At 38.8% G+C, this 11390-nt stretch overlaps 1 protein-coding gene across 4 annotated transcripts, besides 1 other annotated feature; it reads right to left on the bottom strand.

Moving 5' to 3' along the window:
- Positions 1-1208: 1208 nt before the first annotated feature.
- On the bottom strand, positions 1209-9595 carry TAC1 (tachykinin precursor 1). 4 transcript variants are annotated; one of them, NM_003182.3, is made up of 7 exons: positions 9486-9595; positions 8946-9077; positions 7862-7958; positions 7389-7433; positions 6832-6855; positions 5329-5382; positions 1209-1807 (listed from the first exon to the last, which is right to left on the bottom strand). In NM_003182.3, exons 2-7 carry the CDS (start codon positions 9066-9068, stop codon positions 1761-1763), a joined length of 390 nt encoding a protein of 129 aa, NP_003173.1. In that variant the 5' UTR covers positions 9069-9077; positions 9486-9595; the 3' UTR covers positions 1209-1760. The 4 variants fall into 4 exon arrangements, with proteins under 4 accessions (NP_003173.1, NP_054702.1, NP_054703.1 ...); NM_013996.3 differs by lacking the exon at positions 5329-5382; NM_013997.3 differs by lacking the exon at positions 7389-7433.
- Positions 9237-10436: an enhancer, noted in NCBI's record as "BRD4-independent group 4 enhancer chr7:97360557-97361756 (GRCh37/hg19 assembly coordinates)". NCBI's record gives its function as "activates an origin of replication core promoter dependent on BRD2, P300/CBP, MED14 and CDK7 cofactors, and independent of BRD4, by STARR-seq in HCT116 cells {active_cell/tissue: HCT116}" and the evidence as "EXISTENCE:reporter gene assay evidence [ECO:0000049][PMID:35650434]".

Here is an 11390-nt window from a genome sequence, read left to right as displayed (position 1 = left end):
CCACATTATTAAATACACCATGATGCTGCTTTAAATGACTGTATAATATTCTGTTGTTTTAGTACGTTTGCTTAATCAATTTCATTGTTAGATATTTGCTCTATTTCCCCCTCAGTTTATTTCCAATCCTGACTCCTATTATAATCTCTGACCCCAGCATTTTGTTAAGCTTCATAACCCCATCTGTAAAATGATAATAATGACGATTATTTTTGTCATTGAGTGATTAAGTACATATATAATTTTAGCTAATGATTATTTATTATAATTATTATTCAATGGAATGTTAAACATTGCTGTTGGGGAGTGGGGCTCTAGGGGATGACTCTGGTTTTCTCCATTTTGCTTACCATTATATAATTTTTCATATTTAGATGTATTGTGTACTAAGGAATATGAGTTGGAGTTTTTTAAAAAAACATTTAATTGAAAATATGTATGTTAAAATATGCTTTAGCTCTTCTCTCCTACAAATGGTTTTATTGCTCACCAACAGTCACCAGTCCAGGCTAAATTCATTTTTTTTACTTCACTGAACAGTGCTTGTCTGCATTGTTTCACCACTGGTCAATACTTCACATGCTCTATGCAATCAGAAAATGATTCCAAGGACACTTATCAATCAAAATGCACAAGCCTCCCTCTCAATGCTTGGTATTTATTCCTGACGCATGTGCTTCTATCAGACAGAGAGAGTGTTATAGGTATTAGCAATTCACAGGCACTTCTTAGAAATGCTGGAAAGGAGTTCTTATTTTTGCTGTGAGGGTGTTGCCCTATTATCAACACCTCATCTTCCTGTATCATCTTCCGACAATCTTTGTGAGAATTTGATTTGCTATCTTAATGCTAGTGAGACTCAGGCACTGATGCATTTATACCTGGGCTCTGAGCAGGGCTGAAATGGTAGTGAGCTGATGTTTTACTCAACAAGAAAATAATCAGTGAAATATATCTTTGAAATAGATTATTATCCTATTTGTAAAAAGGAATTAAAAGCATATAAAACCAGAACTTAGCCTTTACTCTTTGGAATGCAAAATGCAATTGTGTTCTTCATAAATGATCTCATGACAAGTGATTTAGCAAAAAAAGTGCATGACAGAGAAACTGCATTTTAGACAAAACCGCTTTGAACCTATTTCACCTATTAAAGGAAAGATTGCTAATTGGACATAAATGTTAATAAAAGACATGTGACAAAAATCTTCAAGATATTTTTTCTTTTATTTAAAATGTTAGCTATCACAACACATCATACAATGAAATGAAGACATTAGAATCACATTGAAACTTTTAAAAACATCTCTATATAGTCACAAAACATGAAACATGCTTCAGAGATACAAATACAGTGTAATACCAAAATCTCAGTACATTTTCACCATGAAAACAAATAGGAAAAGCACAAGACTGTCAGGAGTTTCCTTCCTTTTCCGCAGTAGCTGACACAACTGCTTCAAAGCAATGATTTTTTTTCTTTAGGGACTGTATCATTGACAGGTTTTACAATTTCATTTAACACTGTGCTTTGTTGAGAAATAACCACTTATTTCTATTTTAAGGGAGTCATCATATTGGAATTAAAACACATGTTTACAATACATATTGGCACAATATGAAAAATAAACACTTTTTGAATTTTCAACCCCAAACAATTGTTATTAAATAAATAATTATTCCTCATAGTGCATGTCTTAATTTACCTGTCATTGCCCATTGACACAAATGAAGCTGAATAAATAATGTTAGGTAGTTTATTAACGTCTTCTTTCATAATTCTGCATTGCACTCCTTTCATAAGCCACTGAAAACAAAGAAGAGATAAAGTGTTTTTTAAGTGAATTCACTGAGGGAGTTACACAACTAAAGTTCAGGGCATATAGTAATTTATTTTAAACTCATAATGACATTTTCCCTCTACAGAAGTATTTCTAAGAATGTTATCTGCACATCTTCCAATCCTGCCTCAGTCTCTATTCTGATTGGAAATGATCTAACCACAGAACTCGGTTTCATTCATCATTCATCATATACTTGGTGCCCCCAAAGCATATTTCCACAATATATTGCAGTGTTGATTCTCAGCAGCTTTCTCAAGCAGTGGCAGATACCCATAGTGAATTCTAGAAAGGACAATGCCTAAAATAACCAGGAATACTAGTAGGATAAAAACCAAATGTGGGACTTTTATTCTAGCAGAGACCATGGGCCAAATCTAGAATACCATTTGTTCTTGTAAAGAGGTTTATAGGAATACAGACACACTCATTCATTTACATATTGTCTATGGCTGCTTTGGCCTAAAATAACAGATTTGGGTAGTTGCAACAGAGATTACATGGCTCACAAAGCCTAAAATATTTATAATCTGTTTCTTTTCAGGAAAAGTTTGCTGATCTTTGTTCAAGGGGCATCTAATTGTGTAGGGGTCTCTTCCTACCTTGTGGATACCTCCCAGTGATGGACTGCCCTCAAGACTAAAAACAGCCCATTTACCATAGGTAAGTCAGTTGAGCCATCTAAATACCATACTGTTTAACTTTTCACTAGCACCTTAATGGCCTGTGAAGCATTAATTATTGCTTCCAAAGGTATTTAACATATAGCTAGCAAGTAATTTAAATACATTGATTATCTGGACAAAAAAATGCCAAAATTGTATATTATATTATATTATATTTATTATATATAATTTCAAAGGGATCTGTAACCACAAAGGGGTAAAAATCAGACTGTTGCAATAAAAGTATTTTGGGATATTTTTCATCCTTAACGAATACCTTATAGACTTAGACGTATGGTATAGTGGAACTACTATGCTTTTTGAAATTCAGTATGGCCTGTATAAAATACTGAATGTAAACAGAAAGAGTAGAAAGATCTGTGAAGGATCTGTAGGAATAATAAGTGCTACTCTAAACAGTTTCCTCAGTGAGAAGATTTGCTGACAGAGAAGACAGGTAAAGGCACCAGTATTATCACTTCCCTCTTTTAATACTGGTCTTAAACACCCAGCTATCCTTTAAGTGCGGTTAACAATAAGCTGCATATTTTACATCAATTAAGTATGCACTTGTGAGGCAGAACAGTCTGAGCCAACACTGGACAGGCGTGAGGGAAGGAAACAGTTTATTTCTCATTCTGGTTTGATTATATTAGGAACAGGATGAATGGCCCAAGTTCAGTCTCTGACAAGCTTTAGGTAACATGACTCTATTCCTCAGAGAAATTAGATGAAAGCTAATGTAAACCAACTAAAGACAGACAGTGATTTAGCTGGAACATAATGTCCTCTTACATGGAAGCAGAGTTTCTTACCTGGTCTTTGAACCCTCTGAAGCCTGATATAAATTTTTGAGTGTATGAGCTGATGAGGGTTTCTCTGGGAAAGGGCATCTATCTAGATTTATCAGATTGTCAAAGGGGTCCCTGACCATGAGTGGGTAAAGATCAGAGGGCTATAGATTAAGGCTATGATAACCTTGCCTCAATGAGGTACATAAAAAGATCCCTGATTGACTGTGGATCATATCACATTTTTTTCCACATTTCACCTATTTATATTTCCTTAACTAAAATGGAGGAACAAAGATTTAGTTATAAATTGATCCTGATTCACTACAGTGATTTTTATCACTACTTAAAATTATGTTATTATTTTAAGTACATTTAATTGTATTTAATCTGTTCTAACTTGTACAATATCTACATTTGTAAAGTTAAGCATGTTCTGAAACCTATATCAATTCTGGAAATGGAAAGTTGATGACTAATATGATTATCAAGAAAACTACAATTAAGTGAGGACTAGTATGTATTGGTACAAATAAAAGCCATTGTGGTTTAAATTTATATTTCATTTCCAAAAGTGGGAAGATAATACATATTAATAAAACAATTACAAGTTTTTCATTAAGGCACATTGATAATTTCTTACACTTTTACACTTCGGCAGCCCAAAATGACTGGTGAGAAGATGCAAAGGTAGTGTCTAAATAGAAAGTGGGGACCCAATAAGAACACTAGGAAGTCCTGTGGACTTCACCAAGAACTTCAAATTCCAGATTTATTGGAAATTTTGTATCAAAAGGTCAATTATGAAACACTTAGAACTTTTCAATTATATGAATATATTCTCTGGCTTCTGCCGTAGCCCAGATTGTGTTAACTTTTTTTTTCTATTGCGCGTTTTGATTTTTGCCCCACAGAAAGTGGTTTTATTTAATGTACCCAAGTCTTACATTTCACAATAAAGAAAAAAATCTCCATTAAAAAACACTAGGATAATTATTTTTCCTAGGATCCAGATAATTAAGGATTAAGCCAGCACATCTTATAGATTGTCTAGAAACTGGAAATATTCTAAATGGGTAAGACAGCTGCTGATTACTTTATAATTAATAACGTATTTAGTATTTTAATTCTATTTTCACTGAAGGCAAAATAGAATTTGAATAGCTTTTCCAAGAAGCCCTAGAGGTAAGAGCTATAAGGTCTTAACAAAAAGTGAGCTTCTATTAAAATGATCTAGGGGTTATTTACATTGAAATCAGTGTGATGAATGAGTTAACTAATAATGGTTTTCAGATATATGTACGTGGTATTTACAAAGAAGATGGAAATTGAAGAGAAGGAAACCTGCAGCCTTTATATCATACGAAAAAGTTGTTCAGAATTAAAATGAGAATTGTGGCATCCTTTCTCTCTAAGGAGTTTATAGCCAGAACCAATTTATAACACTCAAGGATATTTAATTGTGTTCCTTTTTGAAAGTACTGGAATAAACCGTATCACTTTTGTCCTCTCCAACATCCATCAGGATGTTTAGATTTTGAATTTCTACAACTTCATAAAAAGTGATTAATTTGCATAAAGAATTTGTTTTGTGAATTTATTTTTGTATTGGAAGATCGCCAAATGTAATGTCTTGTAAAACTTTCAAATTACTTTGATAACAAGTGAAAATCACCCTCATTCTTCCCTGCACTCCCCACTCCCCCTTAGTTCAGTAAGGTTAAACACGGCTTATTTAACAGATCTATAGGAAAGAATATAGCACTAACCCAAAGATTCAGGTTGGTAATGATTAAATGGGGCAGACACTGGTAAGAATGGTGATTGGAGAGAAATAGACAGATACTGTGGTAGTATTAGCTTAACCAGCTATAAATCCATTTGTGGTTACAAGTACAACAATTAAATTTTTCCACCATAATACTCATTTTTATATCTACCACTCCTTTTTAATATTTTAAAACTATGTCTTAGAAAAAATAGAAATAGATTTGAGATACTGTCTATTTTCAGTCATAATTTCATACATACCAGAATTTAAAGCTCTTTTGCCCATTAGTCCAACAAAGGAATCTGTTTTATGTCCTGGAAAAATACATTTAGGGGTATTTTAATATGTATATCTTTGAGGAAACAAACTATTATAACCAGAACAAAGCAAGCTTCTGAATATATGTCTGTATAATAAATATCTATCTACTTCAAGTTTTGGTGAGACTGAAGAAATAAAGATTCCTTAAAAGTTTTATAAATTACACTAAAACAATACAATGAAACCACTTTTCTTAATTCTATATTTAATATTAGCAAGCACTCTCTATTCATATATTTTATCTGTTATGTAAGGGTCTAAAATATTTTATATAAAATATTGTTATTTGAGCTAGGTTTGATTTTTTAGGAAGTCAATTTCACATTTGTGTGAGAGTGAAATATCCAAGCATAATTCCTTGTGTTATTAATAAGTTGTACTTCTCAGCAAGTAGACCTTAATTAAACCAGATTCCTTTCCTTGATGATTATAATCTTCTAAAAGGTCACTGTTTTTATTTTATTGGATATTAAAAGATACTCCTTTCAGAAAAGTTTATTAGTTTTCACATGAACAGAGTACATTTTTTATTACATAGAATTTTTATATATAATTCTCTTCAAAGTCAAATCCTTAGAAAGTAAATATGAATACTATTTATTTTTCAAAGATGAACTCTTTGGAAAGGTTACTATTTTAATGCTAGTGAGAGAATTTCTCTTGGTTTTTATTTTAATAGTTGAGAATAGAGCTGCTACGTTAATGTGGCCTGCTCTGCCACCCAATGAACCAAATCCATGACAGGGTACAATAGGTGAGTGGACAATACGATGAAGATAGACCCTTTCCACTTCTTGTCAACTCCGGTTCCATTAACTGAGAAACAAATTTAATGACCTTCACATACCACAATTTTGCCATCTTTGCTGCCCTAAGAAATGTTTTACTGATCGAGTTTTCCCATTCAATTAGGGGATTAAAAAACTGCATCTCTACCGTCTTCATTTTTAGTATGGATTCTCTACTCATGTTCACTCACTCATTCCATTTAATTGGCTGCTGGATGACCCTAATAAATGACATCATTATTGGACCAAGCATACTAAAATGAGTTAGGAGATGCCTATAAATGCTTGTGGGGGTTTCGTGTTTGTTTGTTTGTTTGTTTACAGTGAAAGTAAGCTTAGGGGGTGGGTGGCTGGGAAGAAATATGTATGGTAGATTTCTAATCCTAGGATTGAAATTCTTCTCTAAAACTAACAATTGAAGGGACTTAAAAGACATTTTTTTCTTTTTTAATATAATGCATCTCTTTGCTAAGTACAATATGTCTAAACAACCATATTCTGGATGTAATATGAATCTCCCCCATTCTTATATTGTCTTCATTAAACATATTAAGCCCTAGAGTCATGACAGAAAATAAGGTAAGATAAATAAAGTGAAATTCAATATAATTTTACATTTAAATTTGATAAATGTCAAAATAATTTTGAACTTACTTTTGTGAGAGATCTGGCCATGTCCTAGAAGAAAGATAAAATTAGCAAACACATATAGATTTGTTTTTAAAGATGCTACATTATATCTTTTATAAAATAATTTGATTCTCAAAATATGTAACATTTTCTATCTATATATTATCCTGAGGAATAAAGCAGAACCATAAATGCTAAACAAATTATTAATCATAAAAACTAAATATTTAAACAAACAAATGGAATTTTTATTAAGTGCCTTCTATGGGATTCAAACCTAGGACTATGAGACTTCTGAGGCCTCTTATTAACTATAAGACTGTAACACATCCCACCTTCAAGGCTGGCCACCCACTGAGAGAGAGAGAGAAAGAGAGAGAGAGAGACTGAGAGAGAGTGACAGAGAGAGAGAGACAGAGAGAGTGACAGAGAGAGAGAGAAACCGAGAGAGAGTGCGCAAATCCATCTCTTTATTAAACAGGCATGACCCAGATCTTGTATTTCAGCCCATAAAAGATTTTATTTCACTTTCCTACATGTGCTTTCACAATAGTAAAATAAAGATTTATAGGAATGTTTACCATAAAGAGCCTTTAACAGGGCCACTTGTTTTTCAATTGAGGAATCTGACAAGAGACGAATTGTCATTAACTACATGTTCCACTGACCGTGCGATGAATTCAAGGAAACGATATTTCTATCCCAAGACAAATGTACTCTCACCTCAGGGAATGCTATAAAATCCTCTTCCACATGCACTTGGATCATCCGCAGTACTACCCCTGGAGGCCCGTGCCTTCCCTTTGTCAGTTTGGATCTTTAGTCAAGGGAGCGCTTCACTCGAATACAGTGAGGCATGCGAACCAGATCTTTCCCTCCCCCCGCGGGCCCGTGCGTGCCTTAGTGCGGTGTGGGCCAATGTCGCGCCTGGGGAATTACACCCCTCTTGGAGTGGAAATCTCTATTCAGAGCGAGAGACCCTGGGGTACTCCAGGAAGGAGTGAGCAGACAGGGCGGGCTGCCCAAGACACCTAGGGACGGTCGCCTATCTCACCAGCATCCCGTTTGCCCATTAATCCAAAGAACTGCTGAGGCTTGGGTCTCCGGGCGATTCTCTGCAGAAGATGCTCAAAGGGCTCCGGCAGTTCCTCCTGGGAGACAAAAGCACGGACAAAGGGCGTGTAAGGCAACCAGAGCGAGGCACCCAGCAACCCGAGCCCTTCCCCCCGCTGTACTCCGGCCCCGAGGCGTGGGGAGGCGGCCTTCCCCACGCTCGGGCTGAGCGGGGTCCCTCCCGAGGCGCTGCCTCTCTGCGCCCCTCCCCGCCGAACTCGCGTCCCGCCCCCCGCAAGCCTGCCAGGGCGAGTTAGCAGCTGGCTCGGCGTCTTCAAGCTTCGAGCGCTTTCCGCTCTTTCCTCCCAGCCCGGGGACCTTCCCTCATCTGCTGCGCCGCCACCTGACTTTGTCTTGTCTCGGTGCCGGCTTTGTAGAGTCCTCACCGCCCTAAATGCACACAGGTGTGTGGGATCTGGGGCTGGGGCTCCGGTGGGGAAGGGTGACAACGCTTTACAGACGACTTTCACCGTTTTTCCGAGGCGCGCTCCCCAGCGCCTGTAGCCTACGAGTTTCTAAAGGGAGACTTCAAGCTACATCCTCAGGTCCGCAAAACAAACGTGAAGGCAGGAAATTAACTTCCCTCCAGCCTCCGGCCCTCCAATCCCCCTGCAGCTCGCGCGTGTGCCCGCTGCTGCCCGCGACCCAGGCGCCCTCCTCTGCCCGTGCCCAGACGCTAGGGCAGTGCAGCTGGACCGGAGCCCCCGAAATCCCAGGTCCTGGGGGATGAAATCTTACGAGATTTCCCGCCTTGTGAGGATCTCGGGCTCATCCGGGAGGGCATCCCTACTGCAGGGAGTTCCTGGGCCGGACGGTGCAGCCCTCGGGAAGAAACTTGAATCGTGGGCACAAAATCCCGTGGGGAACCCGGGAAATAGTGCCCCTTTCCATCCTCTCGCACGCAACCGCTGCCTCTTTCCGTGGTGGCGGTGCGTGCCACGTTAACTAGGGTGCTGTTGCGTGGGAAGGTGACAGCTCCCGAGCCCAGGAAGAAGGGTGCGGGCCGTCCTGGGAAGGGGCCTCACCTTGATCTGGTCGCTGTCGTACCAGTCGGACCAGTAATTCAGATCATCATTGGCTCCTATTTCTTCTGCAAACAGCTGAGTGGAGACAAGAAAAAAGACTGCCAAGGCCACGAGGATTTTCATGTTGGATTTCTGGGAAGGGGTAGGAGGAGAAGACACCAAAGAGAGAAATAATGTATCTATTAGGGGTGGTTATCCAAGAGTTAAAGCAACAGAATTTTCTGCCCCACAACGGATGAACCAAGATCAAAAACATAAGGACTGAAGTCTCACCTGTACCGGTTAGGCGAGAGAATCGCGTCCCAAAGATTCTCCAACCCTCTTCTCCCTGAATCCCAACTCCCCCAGCCCCCTAACCCACCAACCCACACCTTCAAACCAGGAAACTCTGCAGGTGGAAGACAAAGAGGGGCGTTGGCGTTTGGGAAGCCAGTCTCCCCACTGTCCCTCGCCGCAGCGGCGCCCCCAGCGCGGCCACCTCGGACAGATGCGGGGCGGGGTGACCCGGGCAGCCGCGGCCAGCACCGCGCGGGCACTTACTGCGACGGACAGTCCCGCGGGGTGCTGAGTTTCTCTGGTTCCTCCGAGCGCACGCTGGTCGCTCCGCACTCTCGGTAGCTGCCGCCGGGAAGGAGGTCCGAGCGCGCTCTTTCGCCTGCTCAGTGCCTTGCGGTATTTATCCCAGCCTCCTTGAGCCTCCAGACCCACGTGACATTCTCCCCACGCGACTTTCTGCTCAATATTTAATTAGCCGCCTCCTCTCCTTTCGCTTGCGTGATTGAGAGTTTCCGAGACGGTAACTCGTCGATGCCCATAACATCTGGACCCAATTGGGTTCTAAATGACGCAATTTTAGGAAAATCGAGGTCTCGCCATCCAATCCGGAGCGGCCTGCTTCCGTCTGCAGATCTGACGCCCCCTCCCCTCTCCTTCGAAACTGGGTTTCATGACACCTGATATTACTCATCAAATTTGAGCAAAGTGACTCATTCCTTGGACTTCGGTAACTTTTCCGTCCCTCGAGACGTCAGGATAAGTTGCACTTTTCAGGATGGCCAAATAACTGTAGGCATTCAGACATTTCGTCGGAAATCAGGCTAAAAAAAGAGGACTACACTTGAGGGGAGATGCGGGGAAGCATTATTTTCCCTTCTATTTCTAGCTTAATAGTATTTAAGTGTTTCTGAGACACAGCATCGTTCTATAACCAGAACATCCCTCTTCTAAATCAACGCGAATACTGGCTTTTCCTTAGCATAACAAAAGGATGTTTAGTCCCATAGTATTTTAGAAGATGGAAGCAGATTTATTTTACATTTTGGAGAAAGGGGAATTTAAACATGACATTGTGTGTCAGACTTAGGATTTCTTTTGTTTCAAGCCGGGTAACTCCTCTTCCTTGCCACATCCAGGAGCAGGGGTTGAACAGGACGTTTTTTGCTTCTCTCCTACACTTTCTTGCTGAAGACTAGGAAACCAGCAACATAGTGTGTAGGATCCTCACCCTTGTCACTAAAGGGCTCTATAAATCATGTTTCTCCTTTCTATGAAAGTAAGTGTAGTGAAGATGCTAATGGGACAGTCATTAACAGCACAAAATATTAGACAAATAGCATTTGTACAGAAACCACACCTTTCCATGAGCCCTTGGTTGCCTGGCAGACACATTTCTTTGATCTCCAAATGAATTAAAAGATGTGACATCTTTGGTGGAGTAGTTTTCTCCCCTTTACATATGAAGTATTATATTTTTCAATTAATTATGATTTTTTAGTATATTGCATAAAAGAAATAAATTTTTGCAACTCAAACCAGAAGTATTTTTTTCTCTATGTTGTTCTTAAATAATCCTGAATTTGGAAATTCTCATGCATCTCTGATTTCTTTTGGCCTTAGCCTCACAATGTGAGCATTTTATTTTCCGTTTTCAGAACTTTTATATGGAAAATTATAAGCATATCCAAAAGTAGAGAGAAACATCCACTTCCAAGTTTCATCTACAACCCTTCCAGTTTCCTCTGCACTGAGATTATTTTGAAAAAAATCCCAGACAGTTAATCATTTCAACTGTAAATATTTCAGCATGTCTGTATAAAGGTAGGAATTAAAAAAAATAAAAACATATCCACGCCATTATCCCACCTAAAACAACATAAAATAATTCCTTACATTAAATATCCAGTTAGCATTCAAATATTTCTCATTGCTTCCTAATTCCGGCCCACACAGTTTACTACTTGAAATCAGAATTATAATGAAGTCCATACATTACAATTGGTTTTGTTAGTTCAGGCTGCTGTAAGAAAGTACCATGGTCTGGGTGACGTAAACAACAGAAATTTATTTCTCACAGTTTCGAAGGTTGGAAGTCTGAGATCGTGGTGTCAGCATGGTCTGGTTGTGTTTAAGGCCCTCTTCCAGGTTACAGACTGTCATATTGTCTCC

The sequence above is a fragment of the Homo sapiens genome, chromosome 7, assembly GCF_000001405.40.
Source record: "Homo sapiens chromosome 7, GRCh38.p14 Primary Assembly".
Taxonomy (NCBI): Eukaryota; Metazoa; Chordata; class Mammalia; order Primates; family Hominidae; genus Homo; species Homo sapiens.
This window is presented reverse-complemented; position numbering and strand designations above follow the sequence as displayed.